A 27,903-nucleotide genomic window follows, 5' to 3' on the forward strand; every position below is an offset into this window, starting at 1 on the left:
GATGATGGTTACCAGAGGCTGTGGGGGTGGGAATGAGTTGTTGATCAAAGCATGCAAAGTGTCAGGTAGACAGGAGGAATAGGTTTTGAGATCTATTGGACAGCAGGGTGATTACAGTCAATAATAATAAATATTTCAAAATAACTAAGAGAAGCCTGGGAAACATAGTGAGACCTTGTCTCTACTAAACATCAAAAAAATTAGCCAGGTGTGGTGGTGTGTGCCTGTGATTCCATCTACTCGGGAGGCTGAGGCTTGAGCCTGGGAGGTCAAGGTGACAGTGAGCTGTGATCCCAACAATGCACTCCAGCCTGGGTGACAGAGCTGCTACCTGTCTCAACAAACAAAACTAAACTAAACTAAGAGTAAATTTCAAATGTCCCACCATTAAAAAAAAAAAGACAGGCAAATGGAGTGCTAAATGTGTTAATTAGCTTGATGTAATCATTCCACATTGTAGACATATATCAAAACATCACATTGTATCTCATAAATGTATACAATTATAAATTATCAATCAAAATAATCGTAATTTTAAAATTACTGGATGTTGCATAGTTTCTAGTTTAATGTAAACATTATAAACCATATTTGTACCCATTACAAATTGCAGCTATTAAATAATCTTGAAAATCACATCCCACCTTTAATGATTTGAATCATGGGACAGTGCAAAGGGCACCTGAATACACGTCGTAGTACTTAGGTTCTTGGCTCTTTCACTAAACAGCCACATGATCACGGGCAACCTCTTTAACCTTGATGGCAGTCCATGAGAAAACATGTACAAGTACCTAGTCCAATGCTTGGCATATGATATAGGCACTCAACATTTGTTAAAATTGAAGTTTTAACTCATATTAAACAATTTCTATTTTTTAGGAGTTACATACCAAGTTGCAGTACCCTCTTATTTGACATGTAGATCTGGAAATATTCATTTCATCCAAATGAGACTAAGCAAAATCATATATTATCTCAAAACACTGAATCAAATGGAATAGTATTCCATTTGAATACTATTAAAAATAGTATTAAAAAATAGCTCTTTTTAACCCACAGATCACAGGCAAACTATAGATTGAAACAGGAGATCTTTTTAATAGAAAAATGCCACAGCAATTTAATCAAAGTCTGAACAAGGACTTTGCCTGCTGCCACAAATACCATGACAAACTGTGGCATTATGAGAAGCAATTAATGATGAAGATATGATAAATAAAACATGAGTTGGCCAGAATATTTTTACTGATGTCTTCTCATTTGACTTCCTGGTATAAGATGGTCAATTTATCACGCCTGTAATCCCAGCACTTTGGGATGCCAATGTGGGCGGATCACCTGAGGTCAGGAGTTCGAGACTAGCCTGACCAACGTGGAGAAACCCCGTCTCTAATAAAAATACAAAATTAGCCAGGCGTGGTGGCGGGTGCCTGTAATCCCAGCTACTCGGGAGGTTGTGGGAGGAGAATCGCTTGAACTCGGGAGGTGGAGGTTGCGGTGAGCCAAGATTGCGCCATTGCACTCCAGCCTGGGCAACAAGAGCAAAACTCTATCTCTAAAAAAAAAAAAAAACAGATGGTCAATTTAACTATCAACTTAATCGAAAAGCCAATGATTGTAACAATTAAAATTTTGGTTAATAAAATTCAATTATTTGTGACTTAATGTGTGAAGGATTTCATCTGCTACTGACAGAAGTATAAAGACAAAAAAAGTATCAGTTGTAAATGGTCAGTTCATTTGTCAAAACACATTATCTAGTATGGTATTTTCAAATTTATAACTTGTAACATTTTAATCAAACTACAAATTACACTTGAACCACATTTTCAAAAATAAAAATAATCAAGAATGATGAAGTAAAAACTGCTCAAGTTCAACTGCTGGATCTGGGATGTAAAATAAGTGACAAAACAGAGAAAAGTGTTGAGTTTTTAAACAGCAGATTTTGACTTTATTCAAATCACATTCTTTTATTTTTTTTTGTACTTGGTTTTTGTATTGTTCTTTGTACTTGGTTTTTGTATTGTTCTTTGTTTATTTCAAACCAACAGCCAACATCGTACAAGTCACATTCTAAAAAGAAAAAAGGAAGTATAAAAGATTATAATGAAGATAATTTAATATGTGCATTTATCAAATGTGTCAATGGTATTCTTGAAATAAAGGCTTAAAATCTTCAAAATTAAAAAAGCTATTTGGATATAAGATGCTGAACTCACTGACAAAGGAAAAAAATACATTCAAGTTCCCAGACTAATTTCTTAGTTATTGCACTATTGTTAGTGATAAAGCCTTATTATCATCATTAAAGCATATTGTGAGACAGAAAACAACTCACATATTTTCTTCTAACATGTCTGGATATGGTATGTATAACTTTAAATCTCAGCTAATTAATTAAAAACTATCCAGAGTGACAACACAGTAGCTCATTTACTTTTTACCACTGCAGAACATTTGGAAGCAATAGTTACTATAAGTCTGTACAGACTTCATAATCCACCTTGTTGAAAATAAGCTGCATAACACTTGTAGAGAAATGTAGGAAGATCGGTTAGTACAGGATACACCATGTTGTTTAAATATAACCTCAGACACAACTGAATTAGATATATAGTTGAGTATTTGTTACTTGACAACAGGGATACATTTTGAGAAATCTGTCACTAGGCCATTGTCACTGCCCAAACATCTGAGCATACTTACACAAACCCAGATACAAACTACATACTTTGGCTATATATACAGCCTCTTGCTCCTAGGCTACAAACCAGTACAGCATGTTACTTTACTGTAGGCAATTGTAACACAAAGGTTAAGTATTTCTGTATCTAAATGTATCCAAAACTAGGAAAGGTAGAGTAAAAATACAGTATTACTTCATGGAACCACCATCATATATGTAGTGTTTTGTTAACAGAATGTCATTATATATCAAACAACAGAAATGTATTTTCAGGAATAGAATATCTATTGCTAGATAATATAATTTTTTTAAACGTTGTGCTACTGCATTCCAGCCTTGGCAACAGAGACCTTGTCTCAAAAAAAAATGCTTTATGATAAAAAATTTCAAACAAACATAAAAGTAGAAAGAATGATAATAAATACTCCCCTTTTACCCAATACTTGGCTTCAATGATCATCAACCCACAGAAAATGTAACAAAACTCTGGCATCCAAAGACAGTCTGCTGATTTCACACTATGAAAAGTTATTTTTATTAAATACTCAATACTAGTTGGTCAGTACTTTTTTTCTTATTGAAAAGCAATTACTATTTGGCAAACATTTCCAAAGACAATATCTAAGTAATAATACCACATATTTTACTGATATTTTCAGCATTTTTTATGAACTATATTTATAATTACAGGGATTTCAACATTCCAACTTATCCAAGGGTTCCAAAAGACATTATTGTTAAAGGGGCGGTAATCACCCTAGGTACTATATGCTCCTGAAATTTTGCAACATATGGAAAAGGACATTATTATAGAAATTTTGAAAGAAATAAAATTAGAGCTACTGTATTGTTATATCTCACTTCCTGACTCAAGCTTTTAACAAGCTTTATGGAGGTGTACCTTGAAATGAATTGCATGTGTGTATCAACAGTTCATTCTTTTTCACTGCTAAGTAGTATTCTCATATGTGTTCCATTGTATTCCAGTTTATTCACCTGATAGGCACTTTGGTTGTTTCTAAATTTTGGTCATTACAAATAGAGCTACAATGGACATTTGTCTTTGCATGAACAAATATTTCATTTTCTCTTGGGTAAATACCTAGGAGTAGAAAGGCTAGATCATACGTATGATAGATACGTTTAACTTTACAGGAAACAGTCAAAATATTTTCCAGTGGTTGCTCCGTTTTGCATTCTTCATCCTTGGCAGTATTCTTTGCTCTAGAATCTGCTTTGTCTAATAATACAGAGATTCCAGCTTTAATTGGTGTTACCATCATATCTTTTTTCATCCTTTTAACCTATTTGGGTTTTTTACATTTAAAGTGTGTGCCTTATAAGAGGCATAAAATTGGATCTTGTTTTATCCAATTCAACAACCTTTAGCTTTTAACTGGGATGCATATATAGCCAGTGGTTCTCAACTGAAGGCAGTTTTATGTCCCCTGCCCCTGGGCCCCTCCCCCCACAAAAGAAACACTGGGCAATGTCAGGAGTTATTTTTGGTTTTCTTTTATAACCCTTGAAAAAAGGAAAAAAAAAAACATTCTTAGCCTGCAGGCAGTAAAATAGCAGCTTGCAGACCATGGGTTTCTGGTCCCTAGTGTATTTCTACCTGCCTGACTTAACTTCCTTTAACATTTCTGGTACAACGGATCTACTGATGAATCCTTTCAGTTGTTGTCTGAAAAAGTATGCTGCTTTTGTATTTCAAAGACATTTTCTCTGTGCGTAGACTTTTTTTTTTTTTTTTTTTTTTTTTTTGAGATCGAGTCTCACTCTGTTGCCCAGGCTGGAATGCAGTGGCGTGATCTCGGCTCACTATAACCTCCGCCTCCTGGGTTCAAGTGATTCTCCTGCCTCAGCCTCCTGAGTAGCTGGGATTACAGGTGCCCGCCACCACACCCAGCTAATTTTTGTATTTTTAGTAGAGATGGGGTTTCTCCATGTTGGCCAGGCTGGTCTCGAACTCCTGACCTCAAGTGATTTGCCAGCTTCAGCCTTCCAAAATTCTGGGATTACAGGCGTGAGTCACTGCACCTGGCCTGGGCATGTAATTTTAGGTTGACAGGGTTTTTCTCTGTTTGGTACTTGAAATATGTTGCTCTACTGGCTTCTCAAATTGTTCCCTATAAGAAATGTAACTTCTTACCTTTGTAACTATTTCCAAGTCACTTGAAAACAGTACCTTTTTGCCCCTAGTCCATTTAAGATTTTATCTTTATCACTGGTATTAAACAATTTGATTATGGTGTACTCTGGTTTGGGTTTTTGTTTAAGAGACAGGGTCTCTCCACATTGCCCAGGCTGGTCTCAAACACCTGGCCTCAAAGCAATCCTCCTGCCTCAGCCTCTCAAAGTGTTGGAATTACAGGCGTGAGCCACCACGCCTGGGTGGTGTGGTTTTTTTATGCTTCTTGTGCTTGGAGTTCATATCTTCTTGAATCTGTGGGTTTATGGTTTCCATCAAATTTTTAAGCTATCATTTCTTCAAATACTTTGTATGCTCCCTTCCCCTACTCCCATTACACACTAGGGTGCTTAAACTTATGCACAGCTCACTGATAGACTATTTTTTTGGTGTGACTTTGATTAGTTTCTATTGCTATGTCTTCTTCAAACTCATGAATCTTTTCTTCCACAATGTCCAATCTGCCATTAAACCCATACAGTAGGTTTTACATTTCACACACTGCAGTTTTCATCTCTAGAAGTTGGATTGACATCTATCTTCCATGTCTCTACTTTTTGAACATATGGAATACTGTCTGAATTCTAACATGTCACTTTTTATCTCATTATGGGTCCTATTTTCCTGCTTTTCTGCATCCTTGCTAGTTTGGAGATTACATTGTGGATTTTACCTTTCTAGGTGCTGGATGTTTTTGTATCCCTATAAATCTTCTTGAGCTTTGTTCTAGAATTCAGTTAAGCTACTTAGAAATAGTTTGATGCTTTCAGGCCTTGCTTTAAACACTTGTTAGGCAAGACAGGGACAGTGTTCAGTCTAGGGCTAATGGTTTCCCACAGCTGAGGCAAGGCCCATTCTATGCACTCTACCCAATGCTCCGTGAATGAGGCTTTCCAGTCTGTCTTGTGGAAACAGCCAATATTCCCAGCCGTCTCTGAGCACGACACAATTACAGTCATGTGTTGCTTAATGACAGAGATATGTTCTGAGGAATGCACCTTTAGGTAATTTCATCATTATGTGACCATCATAGAGTACTTACACAAACCTAGATGGCACAGCCTCCTACACACCTAGGCTATATGGCACTGCCTATAGTTTTTAGGCTACAAACCTGTACAGCATTCAGTTACTGTACTGAATTTGTCACACAATGGTATTTTTGTATCTAAACATAGAAAAGTTATAGTAAAAATACAGTATGAAAGATAAAATGGTATACCTGTAAAGGGCACTTACCATGAATGGAGCTTGTAGGACTAGAAGTTGTTCTGGGTAAGTCAGTGAGTGGTGAGTGAAAGTGAAGGCCTAGGACATTATTATAACACTACTGTAGACTTTATAAACACTGCACACTTAGGCTTAAATACATTAAATTTATTTTTAAAATGTTTTTCTTCAACAGTAAATTTTTATTTTATAAACTTAAAAATTTTTTTAAATTAACTTTTTGACTCTCTTGTAATAACATTTAGCTTAAAATACATGTTGTACAGCTGTACAAAAATATTTTTTATATCCTTATTTTATAAACTTTATTTAAAAAATTTATTTTTACGAGACACAAATTAGCCTAGACTTACACAGGGTCACAATCAACAGTATCACTGTCTTCCACTTCCAGATTTTGTCACCCTGGAAGGTCTTCAAGGGCAATAACATGCACAAAGCTGTCATCTATGATAACAATGCCTTCGTCTGTAATACTTTGAAGGATCTGTCTGAAGTTGTTTTACGGTTAACTTTTGAAAATATACATAGGTAGAAAAAGTATACTCTAAAATAACAATAGGGCAGGTGCAATGGCTCACACCTGTAATAAGCACTTTGGGAGGCCGAGGTAGCTGGATCGCTTGAGCCCACAAGTTTGAAACCAGCCTGGACAACATGGCAAAATCCTGTCTCTACAAAAAATACAAAAAATTAGCCGGGTGTGTTGACCCGTGCCTGTAGTCCCAGCTACTTGGGAGGCTGAGGTGGGAGGATCACCAGAGCCCAGAAGGTCGAGGCTGCAGTGAGCCAAGATTGCACTACTCTACTCCACCCTGGGCAACAGAGTGAGACCTCATCTCAAAAAAAATAAAGATAAAATAAGGATAAATGTATCAGCAAGACAGTAGACCAGCATCACCACAGACACATAAGACATCATCATTGAGATCTATGACATCACTAGGTGGTAGGAATTTTCCAGCTCCATTATAATCTTATGAAGTCTATCATTGAACAAAATGTCTTTATGTGATCCAAGACTGTACTGTAATATTTTTGGATGATCCTTTCCTTGGCCTCAGGTCATTTCCTCACATGCATACAGTGATCAATACTTACCTGAAGAATCAGGAGAGATTCATTCCAGATCACTAGAATTCTCTCTCTATGCAGCTCTCTCCCTTCTAGCAAACTCTGGCTGCACTGGTTTCACCAGGCTCCAGGCTCTATCAACAGAGGGATTCCACTAGGCTGCATATGTTCCCCTCTCCCTGTACTATGGCTTAGAAATTCTCCCAAGGCAATAAACTGAGGCAATCATAGGACTCACTTTGTTTCCTATTGATCAAGGTTCACTGTCCTTCATTGCCTGATATCCAATATCTTGGAAAACATTGTTTTATATATTTTGTCCATTTTTTATTGTTTCTGGCCTGTATCAAACTTTTAACCATTACATGCCAGAACAAAAATTGATACATTCAAGGAAAAAACTGGATAGATTTGTTTTCCAACACTCTGAATCAAAAACTGAGTTATGCTTGGTGCCTGCAGAATAGGAAATATTGTAGCTTACTTCTCTGGAAATACTAAAGAATGATTATGAAATATCAAATGCATCGTGTTTTTTTTTTTTTTTTAATTCTCTAGCCCTATGTCATAATGATGTATCATTCTTTTGGAGGAAATAGGATTGTTCATTGCTAAGTGGCATGAATGTAGTACCGCTATTGGTACTTTTAATTCTTAACCCATAAAAACAAAGAAACAGAGTTAACACTGTACTGGGTATGTGAGAACTGCACTTGAGATCCCAAACTGAAATCAACTTATGAATACATAGCACACTCATCACTTTAAATAAAATGTCCCCCAATTTTTATTATATTGTATTTATTTGGGATTATTTCTCCATTTTACGTTTATATATTAGTGAAATTATATGTAATCATAACTTTTTTCCTTACAAAATTATTACTCATGAAACTTTCATTTTAATCATAAAACCTTCTTTTCTCCTTATCAACTCATTTCTATCATCTTAGAAGATTATCAACGTTATGGGATTTTTGGGTTTTTTTTTTTTTGAGACAGAGTCTCACTCTGTCGCCCAGGCTGGAGTGCAGTGACGCGATCTTGGCTCACTGCAAGCTCCGCCTCCCACGTTCACACTATTCTCCTGCCTCAGCCTCCCTAGTAGCTGGGACTACAGGCGCATGCCACCATGCCTGGCTAATTTTTTGTGTTTTTAGTAGAGACGGGGTTTCACCGTGTTAGCCAGGATGGTCTCGATCTCCTGACCTTGTGATCCGTCTGCCTCGGCCTCCCAAAGTGCTGGGATTACAGGCACGAGCCACCGCACCCAGTCGGTTATGGTTTTTAATGATAAATTAATTTGTCATATACCTACAATCATTGTTTGCACAAATTCCCATCAGTTCACTAGGAATCACGAAAAAAAAAGCAGTGGGCCTGCCACTACAAAACACTTTATGCATCAAAACAGATGAAGCAACTGTAAGGTATTTCTGTGATGTGTAACCAGGCTTGTAGAAGACTTTTCCACATCATTGATTTTTTATGTTAAGTCACATAATTTATAGAGGAAAGCTACCTCCCTCTAGTTTTCACTTCCTATATTTTGTTCCATAATTCATTTTCTTCAAATTAAGATTAATTTATACTTAACATTTATAAGACAAGTAGAAATTAATATGGGAAGCAAAATACTAGTATATAAAAATGAGGTGAATAAGTACCACAAATAAAAATTATTTAGGACTAAATGACCAACTACTACTATAGTATATAAAGATTTTCTTGCATTGTTCCTATCCTGGATTTACCAGCCTTCAGGCTTAGATCCTATCTAACCCCTCTAACTATTACTTTCAAATTCAAGTCTTAGCTACCACACAGGCAGTGCAAAAACAGAACCACTCAAGGAGTTGAACCTTCACTATGTCTTAACTTCTCGGTCACAAAACTCCTATTTTTTTTTTTTTTTTTTTTTTTTTTGAGGCAGAGTTTTGCTCTTGCTGCCCAAGTTGCAGTGCAATGGCGCCATCTCAGCTCACTGCAACCTCTGCCTCCCAGGTTCGAGCAATTCTCCTGCCTCAGCCTCCCAAGTAGCTGGTATTACTGGCACCTGACACCACACCCCATTAATTTTTTGTATTTTTAGTAGAAATGGGGTTTCACCATGTTAACCAAGCTGGTCTCGAACTCCTGACCTCAGATGATCCGCCTGCCTCGGCCTCCCAAAGTGCTGGGATTACAGGCATGAGCCACCGCGCCCAGCCAAAACTCCTGTTCTAGTTGAATACGCAGAAATGCTATTCTGACTACCTCAAACAGAATTCTTTCTGATCCACAGATATCAAAGATTTATGAGACAAAATTTTAAAAGGAGTGAGAGGTGAAAAAGAGCTCTACTTTTACTATTAAATTAGCTGTCTGACCTTTGGCAAATACTTAACTTTCTGGATCTTAGCTTCTCCATCTAAAACCAGAAAGGAGGTTAGAGGAGATATGACTACAGAGCAACCCAGCTTATGGAAATTATATATTATTGCTCTATAATCCTTAATCCATATATATTAGGACACTGTTTCAAAAATATTATTGAAGCCTTTCACCTCCTGATATGATGCAATAGGATGTTTATAAACTACCGCATAAAAAGCATAAGAAGTAGTCAAACCTGAACCTAATCAAGCATCTAAATTTTACCATTAGTTTACAGAAAATAAACATGATAGAATAGGTTGAAAGATTGTATGAGGATGGAAACAGCCAAATCCTGAATATGGGAAATTCAATCAGACAAATGACCTAATCTCTACAACAAATAAATGTCAACAACAAAAAAAAGGGAGACTCTGTTATATATTAAGAGAGACAAAGATATATCAATAAAATGAAATATGTGGACATAGTTTAGCTTCTAATTCAAAGAAACAAGTGTAAAAAACATTTTTTGGCAATAATTATAAAAATCTTAACACTCAATATTAGATATTAGATAAAAATGTTACAGGGTCATACATTTCCTTCACAATAATTCTGGCTGAGAGAAGGGTAGAGTGTGTGTATATGTGAATGAGTATTACGGGGGGGAGGGGGAGGACTTGATAATGGTTGAAACTAGGTGTTGGGTTGTTGGGTTCATTATACAATTCTTTACTTTTGTGTATATTTGAACACTTTCAGAATAAATAATTTTAAAGTATGATTTTCAGTTCTGTTAAGTACATGTTACCTAATATATCACTAGTCCATGTTAAAGAAATGAAATTCTCAAAGCTAAGAACAAAATCTTAAGAAAACAAAAAGACAAAAAAAGTAGTCACGAATGGCCCAATACAATTATCTAACAAATGATATGTTCTATATTTATTAAGAAAATAAACCACTGAAAGCATACATGCACTACAACTCCGTTTATATTAAGGTCAAAAAGAGGTTTATTTCGGATATACCGCTAGATAGCGTTAAAACTATAATAAACTCTGAAGACAAGCAAGGTAACAGATAACACAAAATTCAAGATAATGGTTTCCTCTGGGAAGCAGAGGAAATATATTCACAAAGGAACACAAGAGGCTTAAAAGATACCTTTATGTTATGTTTCTTAATTTGGATGCTGGGTATATATGTTCGTCTTATTACTCTTCTGTGGTATAATAAAAAATATATTTATTCTTTGTCCTTGGTTCCTGGAAGAAAGCTCCTAAAACCCTTGGAATTTCCTAATAGGAGGTGTCTTTTATACTTCATAATATATCCCTTTCAATTATGCCTGAGTTTATGTTAATGAGGTGACTCATAGGGGTTGGGAGATAGAGAGGGACCCTAGGTACCTTCAGGATGGAGGCTGGTTACCAGAAAAACCAACTAGGTGTTTACAGGATTAAAACTTTTAGCCCATCTCACTATCTCTGACAAGGGGAGAAGAACTGGAGACTGAGTTCAAATAAGTGACTAGTGATTAATGATTAATGAGTCATGTCTGATCATTGGAAGCTCAAGGGGCTTCCAAACACATTAATGTGCTGGGAGGGTGGCACAGAGAGGGCATGAAAGTTTTGCACCCTCTGTCCTCCATACCTTCCCCTATGTGTCTCTTCCATTTGGCTGTTCCCAAGTTGTATCCTTTACACAAAAATTGTAGTAGTAAATATAGTGCTTTCCTAAGTTCTGTGAGTCATTCTAGCAAATTATCAAACTTGGGGAGTAGGTCATGGGAATGCCCAAATATGGAGTCAGCCTGGAAGAAGTCCAAGTAGGTTGGGAATACCTGAGACTTGTGGCTGGCATCTGAAATGGAGGCAGTCCTGTGGGACTGAGCGCTTAACCTGTGTGGCAACTGTGCTAACTTCAGGCAATTAGTAACGAAATTGAATTGCATTGTAGGACATTCAGCTGGTGTCAGGGAATTGCTATTGGAATGATGTATCATTAAATGGGCGGGTGGGTGTGTTTCATACATACTTTCTTTTCTCATAAATTATATATTTAATAGGAATAATTCAACTACTGTGAATTTAAAAATCAAACAAAAAACTATGAAGTTGCACATACTTTTAACTTATGGGACAAGTCATTATTCATAGGTGTTAAGTCTCAAAACAGGCAGGATTGCCTGGATTTTCTCATTTGCAATTTTATCTTTCAATCTAACAAGAATGGCTTCATTAATTTTTTACACAAAACATTATTAATCTAGGCATTTTCTGGCTTATTTCCCAATAACTTACTCAGAATTTGGCACATCAAAAACTTCATTGCTGTTTACCTCAGTATTGAAACAAAAACAAATGAAAACTTATTCCCAAGTGGCATTGTAACGACCACTTGATTTTCCCCAAGTGAAGGCTTTAATAACTCAAAGGGGTTACAATTCATGCAAACGAAGAAAAGCTACAATGCTACTTTCATGCATAGGTATACTAAATATACATTTACATAGTCTCAAAATAGTCCTTGTCTGAAATATTTGCTAAATAACAAGAATGCAACAACTTTTTGACCAAAATGATCTTCTGCATTCCTTCCTAGGTAGAGCATTAATTTAAGTATATTTACCTAAAATTGGTTTCTTATAATTTTAAATGTAAGCTATTATTACTTAACAAATCAGCTTTTAATTATAAGCTTATTATTTTAGCCTACAGAAAAATATTTATAAGGTCATTTTGTTTGAAATGTCACTGTCTTCATTTTTCTCATTATCTTCCTTCTGTTTGGTGAAATGATGTAATAAACTGCTGCAAATTCTGTTTCTCACTCTACTGTTGGTTCATATTTGCAGATCATCATAGCTTAATTGATATAATGAACAAATGCCTCTTAAAAAACTTTTACTGGTCAGCAGAAATAAAAAACAAACCCTTCACAAACTACATTGATAATAGTCTCTGTCCCTAGCACTATCATAATTCTCAAAAATCTCAACAATTTTTCACCAAACTAAAATCTCTATTTTTTTTTTTTTTTTTTTTGAGACGGAGTCTCACTCTCACCAGGCTGGAGTGCAGCGGCGTGATCTCGGCTCACTGCAACCTCCGCCTCCTGGGTTCAAGCGATTCTCCTGCCTCAGCCTCCTGAGTAGCTGGGATTATAGGCACGTGCCACCACACCCAGCTAATTTTTGTATTTTTAGTAGAGACAGGGTTTCACCATGTTGGTCAGGATCTCCTGATCTCATGATCCACCCGCTTCGGCCTCTCAAAGTGCTGGGATTACAGGTGTGAGCCACCATGTCGGGCTAAAATATCTACTCTTTAACAATTATTAATTATCCATCCAGTAGAAAAAACTGAGGAAAATAAACCTGAGTAATATTTACCCAAGTCTCTTGTTTTTGAATTGCTTCTGTCATGGAGCAAGGAAGCACAGATTTTGATCACAAGAGATTTTGATTTTTCTAAATATCCTTGAATCTATCTAGAGAAATATGCTAAAGGTACAGTTCAGGAACAAAAAAAAAAAAAAACAAAAAAACAAAAAACCAACACCCAATGGTCCCAATTCAATACTGCTTTTTAAAATTAAGCCTTCTTATCACACAACAAGTTATTTTTGTTATATGTTTTATCATTCTAACTCATATTCCCAAACTTTTCAGGATTTTACTTATCTATCAAAAAATCCCAATTATATTCCTGTTCTTTCCAATCCCCCTAAAAAAAAAAAAGCAGTATGTCTCATTCTCTTCTCTGCTGATAGGAGTGTAAAATGGATCACTCTATGAAGGGCAACTGTAAATATCTATCATATTTGCAAACACATTTCCTCTTGGATCCAGCAATTCTTTTCAGAATCTGACAGTTACCCCTGCAAATGTAGAAATGACATGTATTCACTGAAGAGTTGTTTCTAATATCTGAAGACTGGAAACAACGCCAAGTGTCCACCTACGCGTGATTTACTGTATAAACTGGAGTATATCTACAAAATGGAGTATGTGACAGGAAAAAATAAGTTTAATTGAATACTGATAAGGAGGAATATCCAGAATATACAGTAAAACAGGAAAAAAAAAAACATGAACAATGCAGAAAATATTGAAGGAGAGACCGAGTGAAATAAGACTGTATATTCTCATCTGCTTGTATCTCTGCATGAAGACCGGAAGGATAAACAAGAAACTAATTTAAAATGATTACCCGTGAAGACTATTAGGAATGGTACTGGATAGGGACTAGGGAGGAAGTGTTTCTTGCTGCATTTCTTTTCATGTAGTTTGAGCCATGTAAAAGAAATATTTGCTAATCAAAAAACAGCTTTAAAAATCCAGTGGGAGAGGCTGGGTGCAGTGGCTCACCCCTGTAATCCCAGCACTTTGGGAGGCCCAAGTGGGTGGATCACCTGAGGTCAGGAGTTCGAGACCAGCCTGGCCAAAATGGTGAAACCCCGTCTTTGTATTTTTGAAAAATACAAAAATTAGCCTGGCATGGTGGCGGTCGCCTGTAATCCCAGCTACTCGGGAGGTTGTGGCAGGGGAATCGCTTGAACCAGGAGGCTGAGGTTGCAGTGAGCCGAGGCTGCGCCACTGCACTCCAGCCTGGGCGAGAGAGTGAGACTCCGTCTCAAAAATTAAAAAAAAAAATCCAGTTGGAGAATCAAAAATTTTTAAAAATTTGACTGTGTAATCCTACAAGAAGTAAGTAGCTTGAGAAAGAGAAATGCTGATAAAGTCGCATTAAGTTTCAGAGTTGAAATTCAAGCTCCTGTATCTAACATGTTTCCCTGTTTAAGGTAGAATTTAAAAAAAAACTATATATGACATATATATGTCAACCCAAAAAAATAAAGCAGTATATATTATATATATAAGAATATATATATATTCTCCTTTATATGTTTTTTGTTTCACATATATATATAAATATATATCTCAACCACAAAAAAATTTGGTTTGTGACAAAGATGCACTTATTTGCACGAACCTATCTTGTTAATGATCAAGAAATCTGCTTTGTTACAATCATTAGAGGACAGAAATATACATACATATTTAAATCTATTTAATGAAATGCAGTTTTATGTTAAAAATCAATGATCTGCTAACCTAAAGAGTCGCACAGGAATACTATGATTATTAAACACAATGCGATTCTCTAAATAAGTAAACACGTGCAATGATATCAAAGTTCAAAATTCTCTAATTCTTCCACAAAGACTATGAAAATCACCTTGGAGTGTATGAACCAGCGTCCTGGCCCCGCCAGGTCGGGGCTGGGGCGGGCGCGGGCCGGGAGCGCTTACCCCGCGGCAGGAGCGATTCAGCGCCACTACCTGCTTCGCCTGGTTGTGGTGTGGCTGCTGCGCCAACCGAAAGGCCTCCTTAATCCGCAGCAGTCTCTTTTCGCTCCCATGGCTCTGGGACTCTGTCCGGACTAGCCCTGTCCGCGCTCGGCTACATCCGGCCCGCCCACCAGCTCAGAGGCAGAGTTCTCCGCGGTGTCTCCTAGGGTTTCTTGTCAGAGGGCCCCAGGCGCCTAGGGAGTCGTTACCGCCCTGGCATTCAAATAACTCCCGCGAGAGGCGGAAATCCCGCGAGACTGCCGACAGAGCGTAGGGAAGTGGAAAAGTGGAGCCTGCACCGCCCGCTCCCGGCACCCCCGGACACCGCCCCGGTCTCACGCATGCGCAGAGGGCCGATCCAGTTCTTTTCGGCTGGAATGGGGAATTTGTGAGGTAGGCCGGAAGTGGTGTTGCGGAGGGAAGTGTGGGGAGAGCAGAGGCGCAGCTCTGCTGGAGAGACCTGAGGCTTGCAGCGCTGGGCCCGGCCGGGTCGCTGCGGCTGGGCTGGAGGTGAGGCGAAAGAAGGGCATCCTCTGATGGGAGTGGACCGGAGTCCGCTAAAGCGAAGCATTCCAGGGTTCGTTGCGGGAAATACAGTCTGGTTTTGCCCCCCGTATGAATTGAGGGAAGGTGAGAGCAGAAGCAATCCGGGCCTGAAGGGCGATTATTCTAGGGTCGGCCGAGGGGTTCAGGCCAAAGTTCATTGAAATCCTAGCTGGGTCCCTGGAGGACGAGAAAACCGGTCAGGAGTCTCCTGGGAAGAGGGTCATGTTTTAATCTAGCTAAAGCTGGTACCTGGCAGTTTCCACTCTTAAGGCCTAGTGTACTAACTAATGTGTGCGCAATGTCAAAACAGGAAACAAAGGGAAATGCAAGAGGTGGAAGGTAATTTTAAGTTAGTGGCAGTATGACAGATTTCCAGTGCCTTCAGGAAGGTATCCAGCCTTAAAGATGCTTTTTTTAAATAGACGATTTTAGACAGAAAAAAGGTAGAAACAAAACTATAACACATGTGTACTCACCACTGAATTGGAGAAATAAATGATTATATAAGTGATTGAAGTCCTTTGTCAGCTCTACCCCGTCTCATTCTCTTTCCTTTTGCCTAAGGAAACCACTCTCCTAACCACCTTTATGCAATCTGTAATGTGTACATCTTTTTGCAGCTAGCTTGTTTTACATAATGTTTTTGAGATTTGTCAGTGTTGTGTAACTCCACCTTATTCATCTTAATAGCTGAACAGATATTCTGTTATTTTAATATGTCACTGTTCATTGTTTAGTATCTCCAGTGCCTGACATACTTTAGGCACTGTAGGTAGCTAAATGTTAGTTGAATGCATGGCTGCTGTAGCATTTGAACTAAGTAGAAAAGAATAAATAGGACTTCATGTGACCCAACAAGAGTATTCCAGGCAAAAGGAATACTAGCCAAAAGCAGAGACATGAAAGTGCATGAACTATTTCAAGAATTTCCATACTTTTAGTACTGAAATGTAGAATGTATGGAGATCATGTGATGAAGGAGAAACCTGGAAAGATGAGGCTTAAGCTTAAAGGATATTATCCTGAAGAGCTTACACAAGCTCGGCGCCATTAAATGCTTTTCCAGTTATGAGGAAGCTGATTAGAGCTGTATTTTCAGAAGATGATACAGCGCACTAGAGATATATCTTAGGATATAAAAGATTAGTGACGGGGAATTTTAGACTATCAAGCATTGTAACAATAACAATCATTGCATTAAGCAAGTAAGACAACCAGCCAGACTAAAAATCCAAAAACATTTTCCTAGTCCATCATATTATCACATTCCTTAACAATTATTAATATTTCATATTTTCTTCTGACAAACTTGCAACATTTTCTACTTCGGCCTCTTACTTAGATGATACCTCACATCCTATTGAGTTAAAAAAAAACTTCCCCATGCTTTCATCACCACATCTACCAGACCTGTTCCCTAATATACTGCCACTGCTGTTACTATAGATGAACTGTCTGATTTAGGAGGGAGAGTAAACCCTTTAAAAATATCTTTTTAATACAATAGTAACTGAACTAGTGTTACAAACTTTCAAGGGGGGATTGAAACGTGAATAGTAAGAATATGAAAGAATGGAATAGTTAAAAGACAATTGCTTCTAAGAGATAAATGATCCATATATAGTAATATAAAAATAAGATACTTTTTTAATGTATATTTCTTTTTTTCAGGTAGATTTAGGTTCTAAGCTTTAAAAGCTAAATCTAAATTTACATGTATGTTTTTATAGGATCATTGTTTCTACTATTTCTTAACATAAGCAGTTTATTATGAAGTAGAATCTTTAACAATCCTGTTTTAAATAATATGTTTTATTAGCCTTCGTCTTACATATTTCCCAGTTGTCCAAATATAGTTGGATAACTTATTTGTTACTGACTGTGATAAAAATAGAGTGTACATTGTACAGTTTACTACAGGTGTCATTAATTTTCTCATTCTCTCATATGCATTGAGTAACTACCATACAGCAAGCACTATTCTAGGAACAGGTAGATAAGATTTATTAGTGGAAAATCACTTACCTAAAACCATATCATATAACCGTGTTAATGCACCTTGGTGTATGAGAAACTTTCAACTACAAATATTTGATTACCTTAATTGCAATTCTTAAGGGAGGCTAAGTAGATGGATAGCTGAATAAAGTTATTACTTGGAAATGTTGCCATGTAGCCGCAGGAGCCAATTTCAGTGCACACATCTTAAGCATCAGTGTACACATTTATAGGTCTTTGGTGTTTGGGCCAGCAGAACCCACCTGGGTTATGGAATCACACTGGTGTACTTGATCGTGTTCGGGTATGAACATGCTCTGATTTACATTGAGTACTAATTGAGCATGTCTATTTAAATTAAAGTTCCAGAATTTATGTTTAGGCCAGAACCTCAGGTTTGAACTTCTCCCCTAAAATTCCTCTGGCTTCTCATTAAAGCCGCTTTCGGAGATATAAGTAAAGAAAGTCAAACAAAAGACTTTGTAGCATGTTTTGTTTAACATGTTTTGTTTAGCACTGTTTTTCTTGAGCTATATATGATAAATATCTAGGGAGAGGTGGCAGAAGGACAAAATTGTAGTAGTTTGAGGTTTCTTGGGGGAAAGTTGAAGCATTAAAACATGTTAGCATCCTTATATGAACTTTTAACTATGGAAGGAAGAGTCAGTATTCCCTTTCAGGCAGCTGTTTATCTGGCTTAGACTGCCTCAAGGCTGTGTATTGCCCTTCAGCTTTTCTTATGCATTAGAAAGAGATCTAGATGCATTTGCCTTTAGCAGTGTAGTTCTGAATACATTGATGACCACCCACTGTGCTGGGACATGCAAGAGGTATGTACCATAAACTCTTTAGTCCTGCTAATGTCCTCGACAGAGGACATAAAACCTCCTAAGAAAAGCTTTGTCTCTTTCCAGCCAAGGTTAACTATTTGTAACATGTCATCTTTCAAGGAAGCATCTAACCAAGATTAAGTCAAAGGCATCTACCAGGTCCTGAATTCTCTCCCAGATGCACACCTTTTAAGGTACAATCAGGTACCATATGTAATCTGTAGCTATTTAACCATCGTTAAAGCATTTAGGACTTTGATTTCCTAGAAGAAGTCATGGTCTGCAAAATAATTGTATTAAAAGGTATAAAACCTGATCAGGAAAAAGAGGTTTAGGGCCAAACTATACAACTTTGTAACTAGACCAATAACACAAAATAATAGTGTTTTAAAATGTACCCAGGATTTATTTTAATCAGATATGGTAAGATATGCAGATGTGAAAATGATTGTCATGAAAGAAGAAATTTTTATACTCATGGATCCCTAGAAACAGGAAGCATGGCACCTTACACCATGCAAGGGTGCCATACCTAGAAGCAGCAGGGTCAATGGGGAGAGGAAGTACAAGGAAACTGCAGGAAAGCCTTTATTTGGTTTTCTGAGGAAGGAATGGGCAAAACTGGATAAGCAGGCTTGAACAGGTTTAAAATTGGCTAGTTGAAATAATTTTGGCCGACTTCGGGCGTAGGGGATATCCCTAGTTGCCTGGTAGCTGGTCTGGAGTGATTAGGATAGGGCAATATTGGCCAGGAGTATAAGAACCCAAGATGTCTGTGTTGGGAGTTGGGGGATTCTGGATTGGTTAGTTTGCATAGGAATTAGCTAACCCTGGGAGAGGTAGTACCTCTCCAGTCATCAAGGACCCACCTAGATACCAAATGATTAACAATACAAAAATAAGAAAGTACAATTAATACAAACAGTCATAATAAAGATACAGTATTAACACAGTTAAGACGTGGAAATTTTAATAAATAAACACTACAGTAAATGTAGGACTGCACCCCTCCCAAAAAATTTGAGATAATTTGATGGAAAGGTGTGTAAGGAAGGGTTGAAACTACTGTTATGGTCATAAGACTGAAATATACTATGATCCAAGAGAGCAGTGCAGCACTACCAAGGCAGGCATGACCAAGATAGGTGCGGCCAAGCAAAAAGGAAGTATGTATGGTGAATAAGCTATACTCCTTCATGGCTTGCTGTATTCTGTTTTGTTAATATACTTTCCAAGTCCTGATGCCAACTTCTGGGTTTTACTGTCACTATTTTTCTATTTACTAATCTCAGTTGAAGTGGTTTGCCTTACAGAAATAGGCCTAAGCCAATATAAGATAGTGATAAAGAGAGCTATAGACTGTTTGCCTCACCATCTATGATCTTGGATATCATAAAGGCCCCCATAGCTGGCAGTAATACTACTTTGTACTGTGATGCTTTAATGTCTTATCTCTGGTCTTATTCCCAGGTCAAGGATGCATTCCAGGAAAGTTCTATAAAAATATACCATCAACTCCAACCTGATATTTGACCTAGCCATGGAAAACCTCATTGGCTCCTCACTGGATCAGACCATAAAAATGATCCAGGAATGAAAATCTAAGATAAATTCCCACCACTTCAAGATGTTCTTATACAAGTCAACAGTCTAGCAGATCAGCCAGTCTCTTTCATCATCAAGCAGACATACTCAAGGTACCAACACAGCAAAGGCACAAAATGTCTCTATATCAGTATTTTTCATGGTATATGTGAGACCCATTAGTGAGGCATGAAATCAATTCTGTGAGTCACAATGAACATTTGTCTAAAAAACAAAATAAAATGTAAAATACCAAAGTGTTTTGCATGAATCCTTTGCCTGAATTGTGCACATTGCAAGGAATGCTGAGGTCAATTTCAATATGCGAGAGGGGTATTTGATGGAGGAGATATGATGAATAGAATGTATATTGGCTAAGAAATGGTTTTCAGTCATTGATTCCTGGGTGTCTTGCTTGATTTTCATAATAGCACGGTTAATGTTCTATAGTCAAGTTTTATATTACAATTACTTGCAACTAGTTGTGAAGTCTGAAATATTCGATTCAATTGCAAACTTTGAGTGTAGTTTTTGAAAAGATGTTATTTAGACTGTATATTTTTTTCTTCTTTTTTGAGTTAGTGCCAATTATAACATTTTAATCAAACTGGAACAAATTGCTATTAAAATGGATCATTTCTTTATTAAAAGAAAGAGGAATAGTGAAGTGAAATATACAGAAGCATGTTCAAGTTCATCTGTTGAATCTGGAATTGTGAATAGTGACAATATTGAGAAAAATACTGACTCCAATCTGCAAACTTCAACTTCATTTGAGCCACATTTCAAAAAGAAAAAAGTAAGTGCAAGACGTTATAATGAAGATTACTTAAAATATGGCTTTATCAAATGTGAAAAACCCTTTGAAAATGACAGACCTCAGTGTGTTATTTGTAATAATATTCTTGCGAATGAAAGCTTAAAACCTTCGAAATTAAAAAGGCACTTAGAAACTCAGCATGCTGAACTTATTGATAAGCCTCTTGAATATTTTCAAAGAAAGAAAAAAGACATAAAGTTATCAACACAATTTCTTAGTTGTTCTACTGCTGTTAGTGAGAAAGCCTTATTATCATCATATTTAGTTGCATATCGTGTGGCAAAAGAGAAAATAGCTAACACAGCTGCTGAAAAAATTATTCTTCCAGCATGTTTGGATATGGTGCGTACAATATTTGATGATAAATCAGCTGATAAATTAAAAACTATACCTAATGATAACACAGTATCTCTTCGAATTTGTACTATTGCAGAACATTTAGAAACAATGCTTATTACTCGTTTACAGTCTGGTATAGATTTTGCAATCCAGCTTGATGAAAGCACTGATATTGGAAGCTGCACAACACTTTTAGTTTATGTCAGATATGCGTGGCAAGATGATTTTTTGGAGGATTTTTTGTGTTTTTTAAATTTAACCTCACACCTAAGTGGATTAGATATTTTTACAGAATTAGAAAGGCGCATAGTTGGCCAATATAAATTAAACTGGAAAAACTGTAAAGGAATTACAAGTGATGGCACAGCAACCATGACTGGAAAACATAGCAGAGTAATTAAAAAATTACTAGAAGTTACTAATAATGGTGCTGTGTGGAATCATTGTTTTATACATCGTGAAGGTTTAGCATCCAGAGAAATTCCACAGAATCTCATGGAGGTATTGAAAAATGCAGTGAAAGTTGTTAATTTTATTAAAGGAAGCTCATTGAATAGCCGGCTTCTTGAAACATTTTGTTCAGAGATTGGAACTAATCATACCCACTTACTATATCATACCAAAATTCGTTGGTTGTCTCAAGGGAAAATACTAAGCAGGGTTTATGAGCTCAGGAATGAGATTCACTTTTTTCTCATTGAAAAAAAATCTCATTTGGCAAGTATTTTTGAAGATGATACTTGGGTAACAAAATTGGCATATTTAACTGATATTTTTAGCATTCTTAATGAACTGAGTTTAAAACTACAGGGGAAAAACAGTGATGTATTCCAACATGTTGAACGTATCCAGGGATTTCGAAAGACATTATTGTTATGGCAAGTAAGACTTAAAAGTAATCGTCCTAGCTATTACATGTTTCCAAGATTTTTGCAGCATATTGAAGAGAATATTATTAATGAAAACATTTTGAAAGAAATAAAATTAGAGATATTGTTGCATCTCACTTCTCTGTCTCAAACTTTTAACCATTTCTTTCCAGAAGAAAAATTTGAAACATTAAGGGAAAACAGTTGGGTAAAAGATCCATTTGCTTTTCGACACCCTGAATCAATAATTGAGCTAAACTTGGTGCCTGAAGAAGAGAATGAATTATTGCAGCTTAGTTCTTCATATACATTGAAGAATGATTATGAAACCTTAAGTTTATCAGCATTTTGGATGAAGGTAAAGGAAGACTTTCCATTGTTAAGTAGAAAGAGTGTCCTGCTATTGCTACCATTCACAACAACTAGTTTGTGTGAACTAGGGTTTTCCATCTTAACGCAGTTAAAAACAAAGGAAAGAAATGGGCTGAATTGTGCAGCAGTTATGCGGGTAGCATTATCTTCCTGTGTTCCAGACTGGAATGAACTTATGAACAGGCAAGCACACCCATCATAGTAAATAAAAATCTTACCTAGCTTTTGTCTTTGTATTTCTTATTTTGTAGTATTTTTCTATGTTATATTTAAATGGTACTATAATACTGTGATACTTTTGTTATGTTTTAATTTTTGTTATATTTAATAAAATTATTTTATGTTCATTGAACAAAAATTTAATGAATTTCTGTTAGAGGCCAGGAACTATTCTAGAGACATTTGGGATACAAAAGTGAACAAAACAGGTAATTCCCTAGTAGAGTTTATATCCTGGCAAGGAGAAATTGACAATAAACCTAATAAATAAGGTTTATAATATTTAGAAGCTATTAAGTGCTATGGAAAGAGTAGTAAGAAGGAAGGTCAGGGAAGTACTGGGGAACCAAACCATGAAGGGTTCTGTAGACCATTATTGGGCCTCTGGCTTTTGTCAGTGGACTAGAGAACAGTTGAAGGGTTTAAGCGAAGGAGAGAAATGATCTGAGCTAGGTTTTAAAAGACACTCTGGTCACTATTTTAAATTCTTAGGGTAAGTCTGAATTAAATGTTACTTTCCCCTCACTGGGCATGGTGGCTCAGACCTGTAATCCCCGCACTTTGGCAGGCCATGGCAGAAGGCTCTGTTGAGCCCAGGAGTTCAAGACCATCCTGGGCAACATAGTGAGACCTTATTTCTACTAAAAATATTTTAAAAATAAGTCAGGTGTGGTGGTGCACACCTATAGTCCCAGCTACTCAGGAGGCTGTGGCAGGAGGGTCGCTTGACCTCAGGAGTTTGAAGTTGCAGTCATCTATGATTGCACCACTGCAGTCCAGCCTGAGCAACAGAGTGAAACCCTGTCTCGAGAAAATTAAATGTTACTTCCCTAAAAAAACCTTTTCTAACCACCCTAGGGTAAATCCTCCATTATTCCTTTATTTCTTTGTTTTCCTTGTAGTATATAATTTGTAATAATTTTGATTACTGATTGTCATTCTGCCACCCTGGAGTATATAATTTTTAATTATCTGATTACTGTTATTCTTCCATAGTAGGGGAGGTGATATCCATTTGCCTGATACATAGTATGTGTTCAATACACATTTGCTAAAGAATAAATGAATCAATAATACCTAACATCTCTAATTTGCAGTCATTCCCAAGAGTAATTATTAAATATGTGGCAAATTTCTTTGCCTTTTTACTTTTAAAAATCTAATTTTGACATAACTGCTGTAACCATCCAGAAACGGCATTGATGTTGCTTCACGTTGCTGATGCTTAAGCAATGTATATTGTGTAATATACAATGTAGTCTTCAAACTAATTTCAACTTCTGCCTTTCTGTGTACTCCCTTATCCCACTGGGTGATATTATTTGGCATGGTCATTGTCATTAAAATCATACAGGATAGTAATTCCTTTCCATCTGCTACCATGCCTAGCCTTATTTAATTTTTCAGATTTTCTGTTCTATTGAAGGTAATTGATTTTTTCTTTTTTTTTAATGCTTGAAATAAAGTGTTGAAAAACAATTCCCTGTGAATAGCTCATATTTCTGCACAGTCTGAATCCCGTTTGACCGTGTTCACATCCAAATTAAGAATGTGTAAAGGAAACATTCCAGGATAGTGACGCTAGAGATAGCACCTCCCCTAGAGACATCCCAGGGAAGTAAAGATAAAGCCTTCTCTTTTCTCACGCCAGGAGGGGAATTTGCCTACATTCCAGAAATAATGAGTAATCTCTCTGGAGAAGATAGGCAGACATGTCAGCAGCCCCATAAAAGCCTAGAGACTTAAAATTTGGGGCTCCTCTTCTGTAGTGCAACCCACTCCATGCAGAGGTAACACCTGGCCCTTACTGTATTACGTTATAGGAATTGGAGCATGGGGAACACATACAATGCTACTCTGGCTGCTGTTTTTGCTATGAATAAGAAATTGTGTCTCTGATCCAGAGGTTTGTGTGTTTCTGTGTGTCTCCTCTGTAAAATCTCTTTTACCATGTAAGGTAACATTCATGGGTTTCAGGCAGTAGGATGTAGACATCTTTGGGGAGGCCATTATTAAGCCTACTGTAGCACCCTCTGGTCCCCAAAGACTCATCCATCCCATGTGAAAAATACATTCACCCCTCCTAGGGTCCCCATAAATCTCAACCCATTATAGCATCAACTCAAGTCCAAATCTCATCTAAGTTTCATCAACTAAAAAGTCCCAAATCTCATATCTAAATTAGATATGGGTGCAGCTCTGAGTATAATCTACTCTGGGGCAAAATTTTTTATCTAAGGACCTATGAAACTAGAAAGCAAGTTCTGTGCTCTACAACAGTAGTGGGACAGAAATAGGGTAACATTCATAGATGTTCCCATTCAAAAAGGGAGAAAAAGCCAAAAAGAAGACACCAGCCAATTCCTTTCAAAGTCCCATGGACAAACTGCATTAGGTTACTAAGCCTGGGAATAGCTGTGGCTCCTGCACCTGCCCTCTGTACCTGGGGCTCCACCCTCAGAGCCATCTTTTTGGATGAGGAGTACCACATGTCTGCTACTAAATAGTTTTATTAGCCCATTTCCTGCTAGTAGAATTTAGGGAACTCGGTTGCCTTCTTTCATTTCAACCACTCTGTCCGTTTTAGTCCAATTTGACAGTGTTTCTATTGGTAAACAAAACATTGTGAGTCATAGGGATTCACTCCATTGAAAGAGGCTTCTCAACAGATGTTTCCTGAATAATCCTATCTCTAGTTGGGGCTTCTGCTGAGATTGGTTGAGGGGGTTTGTGAGTCACATGCCTCTTCAAAGAGCTCTGTGTATCTGAATACTGTAATCTTTTGTGCCTCCTAAGCAGTAGCAAAAGACTACCCACACTTACAAATAGTTAAGATAATAAATTTCATATTGTGTATATTTTACCACAATTTAAAATTCAAAAACTTTTTAAAAAAAGGATGTGCAGCCATATTGTTGGCTTTCTCGCCAGAGCATGTTTTCCTTACAGTGGATCTCTTAGCTTTGGCATCTTTTGCAATCTGGATAGGCTGAGAATTACTCAAATCATCAAATCATAGTTTCATTTTCTAACAGTTCTCTCAGTTTATCCCTTTTCTCTCTCATTTTTCTAAAAGTAACAAGAAAAATCCAAGTCAGACCTTCATCACTGCTTGGAAACTTCAACTATACAAGTTCATTGCTTAAAAGTTCTGTTTTCTTACAATTATAGGACACAATTCATCTAAGCTTTCTACCACTGTATAACAAGAACCCTCTTTCCTTTAGTTTCCAAAAATATGTTTCTCAATTTCTTGTGAGCCCTCACCAGCAGCACTTTTAACATCTATATTTCTACAGTTTATGGTGTGTTAAGATTTTCTCTAGTATGATACAGGTTTTCTCTACCATGCTGTTCACTTACTTCCAAGCCCTCATAACACCCGTATTTTTACTAACAGCCTATTCGAGCATATTTAGGCCTCTTCTATCATATTCCTAAGAATTCTTCCAGTCTCTCTACAGATTATCCAAATCCAAATTACTTCCATAATTTTAGTGTTTGTTACAGCAAAGTTGTCATAATTTGGGGCCAGAAAAATCTTTATCTTGATGACTGAACTCACCTATTCTCCAATCTTGCTTTTTCTTTGGGGTGCCTTCCTTGTGGACTCTGGTCAAGATTAAACAAGAATAATAGTCCTACTCCTGGTGATTCCCAAGTTCAACCTTACAAATGAAGGGGAAAAGGGGCAGAAAGAGTGATGGTTTCAGGTACCCTAATCTGTATTTGTTTCCTATTGCTGCTTTAGCAAATTGCCACATAGTGGCTTAAAGCAACATAAATTTATTCTTCTTTGGAGTCCAATGTATACTGGGCAAAAGTCGAGGTATCAGCAGGATTCATTCCATCTGGATTATTCAGGGAAGAATGTTTCCTTACCCTTCCAAGCTTCTGAAGTCTGCCTGCGTCCCCTGTCTTATGGCTCCTTCCTGCATCTTCAGAGCCAGCAGCATAATATCTTCAAGTATCTCTCTGCTTTTGCCATCACATTATTTTCTCTGTGTCTCTGATTTACCTGACTTCCTCCTGTAAGGACTCTTAAGATGACATTGGACTCATCCAGATCAGCCAGTATAATCTGCTCATCTCAAGATCCTTAATTTAATCACATCTGCAAAGGCCTTCTTACTATGTAAAGTAACGTATTCATAGGCTCCAGGGTTTAGGACATGGACATCTTTGCTGGCCTATTTTTCAGCCTTCCACAACGGACAATAAACACACAGAACATATTAGATAAGCATTCAAAACCATCAATGAGAGCACACTATGAAACACTATTCTAAGGCCTTTAAATGCATAATCTCTCTTCATTCTCTGGCAATCAAGAATTTTGGCCAAGAAAAGAAACACAGTTTTCAATAAGGAAGCTCAGAAATTATTGATAACTCATAATGATCAAGAGAACAAAGTGAAAATGCCTTAGCATTGTGCTCAATGGTTTTAAGATATGACCCTAACTTTCCTGTCCAATCTCCATCTGCAACCTGTTTACCAATCAAACTAAATTTTCAACTGTTTTCAGAAGCTCCATGGTTTTTCCTTTTCTGCCTTTGCTCAGGCAATTCGTTCCATCTGAAATCTCTTTTCCGCCAACTGTGTATATCAGCATACTACTATTTCTTCTAGAAATTTATGTAAGTGGAGTAATAAAGTTTGTGTTCTTTTACATCTAGCTTCTTTCATTCAGCATATTTTTAAAAGATTTGTCATTTTTTTGTATTGCTAAATAATACTCTATTATATGATGATGTTACAAGTTATTAATATATTGTTGTTGGACATTTGCATTGTTTACTGTTTTGAGTTACGAATTAAGCTTCTACAAACATGGGCACAAATCTTTGCATAGATGTATTTTCATTTTTCCTTTGGTAAATACCTAGGAATGGAATATCTTCTTTGGTGAGGCATTTGTTTAACTATTTTGCCAATTTTAAGATGTGGTTGTTTTTCTTATTTTTGAGTTTGTTGGATATAAAAAGCTCGAGGAATAAATGCTCGGTGCCGTGAAGTAAAACCAGCAGTCAGGCAAAAGTTTAATCCTGTCAGCAAGGCAATTGACTTCTGCAGAAGGGTGCCACTTGCATCAACTAAGATCGCAAGAGCACAGAGAACAAAGGAGACTGGGGGGTTTTTATATCCTTAACGCAATTCCTACTTCTGTGTCCCTCCCCCATGGGTAGGGTCAGACTGCACAATCTGAGCTGACCCTATTGGCTACTTGTACATATTTTTCTAAATATAAAAGGGGAGGGGGACGTGAGCTACAGAGGTGGAGCATGTGAGACGTGCAGTTTCAGGGACACAATGGGTGCAGGTAACCAAGGGAATAGATGTGAGTTATTGATTAGGGATGACAGAAAAGGGGTAGGCTGTTTTACAGTAACTAGGGACAAGGAGGAACAGGAAAG

General features: G+C 37.0%; 2 protein-coding genes across 40 annotated transcripts in view, besides 3 other annotated features; one reads left to right on the plus strand and one right to left on the minus strand.

The window, feature by feature from the left end:
• Nucleotides 1–15,087, minus strand: part of FBXL5 (F-box and leucine rich repeat protein 5) — a 77,189-nt gene extending 62,102 nt beyond the window's left edge. For 7 of the 16 annotated variants that reach the window (XM_011513831.3, XM_047450054.1, XM_047450053.1 and 4 more), the window contains exon 1: nucleotides 14,798–15,087. The gene's annotated coding sequence lies outside the window, so the exon portion shown is untranslated. Of the gene's footprint in view, nucleotides 1–893; nucleotides 1,559–14,797 lie in introns of all 16 variants that reach the window. The other 9 variants (XM_047450060.1, XM_017008019.3, XM_047450061.1 and 6 more) reach the window with 3 other exon arrangements.
• The window catches only part of FAM200B (family with sequence similarity 200 member B), a 53,657-nt gene extending 29,692 nt beyond the window's left edge, over nucleotides 1–23,965 (plus strand). For 2 of the 24 annotated variants that reach the window (XM_047450112.1, XM_047450110.1), the window contains 2 exons: nucleotides 18,368–18,477; nucleotides 19,754–23,965. In XM_047450112.1, coding sequence (XP_047306068.1) covers nucleotides 20,496–22,469 — 1,974 coding nt within the window. In that variant the 5' untranslated portion in view covers nucleotides 18,368–18,477; nucleotides 19,754–20,495 and the 3' untranslated portion in view covers nucleotides 22,470–23,965. Of the gene's footprint in view, nucleotides 1–15,246; nucleotides 15,303–15,344; nucleotides 15,540–18,367; nucleotides 18,478–19,753 lie in introns of those variants that run through there. The other 22 variants (XM_047450117.1, XM_024454010.2, XM_047450114.1 and 19 more) reach the window with 22 other exon arrangements.
• Nucleotides 14,845–15,144: an enhancer, noted in NCBI's record as "active region_21341". NCBI's record gives its function as "activates an Ori minimal core promoter by ATAC-STARR-seq in GM12878 lymphoblastoid cells {active_cell/tissue: GM12878}" and the evidence as "EXISTENCE:reporter gene assay evidence [ECO:0000049][PMID:35858748]".
• Nucleotides 15,315–15,554: an enhancer, noted in NCBI's record as "active region_21342". NCBI's record gives its function as "activates an Ori minimal core promoter by ATAC-STARR-seq in GM12878 lymphoblastoid cells {active_cell/tissue: GM12878}" and the evidence as "EXISTENCE:reporter gene assay evidence [ECO:0000049][PMID:35858748]".
• Nucleotides 15,565–15,614: an enhancer, noted in NCBI's record as "active region_21343". NCBI's record gives its function as "activates an Ori minimal core promoter by ATAC-STARR-seq in GM12878 lymphoblastoid cells {active_cell/tissue: GM12878}" and the evidence as "EXISTENCE:reporter gene assay evidence [ECO:0000049][PMID:35858748]".
• Nucleotides 23,966–27,903: the final 3,938 nt, after the last annotated feature.

The sequence above is a fragment of the Homo sapiens genome, chromosome 4 (assembly GCF_000001405.40).
Source record: "Homo sapiens chromosome 4, GRCh38.p14 Primary Assembly".
NCBI classification, from domain to species: Eukaryota; Metazoa; Chordata; class Mammalia; order Primates; family Hominidae; genus Homo; species Homo sapiens.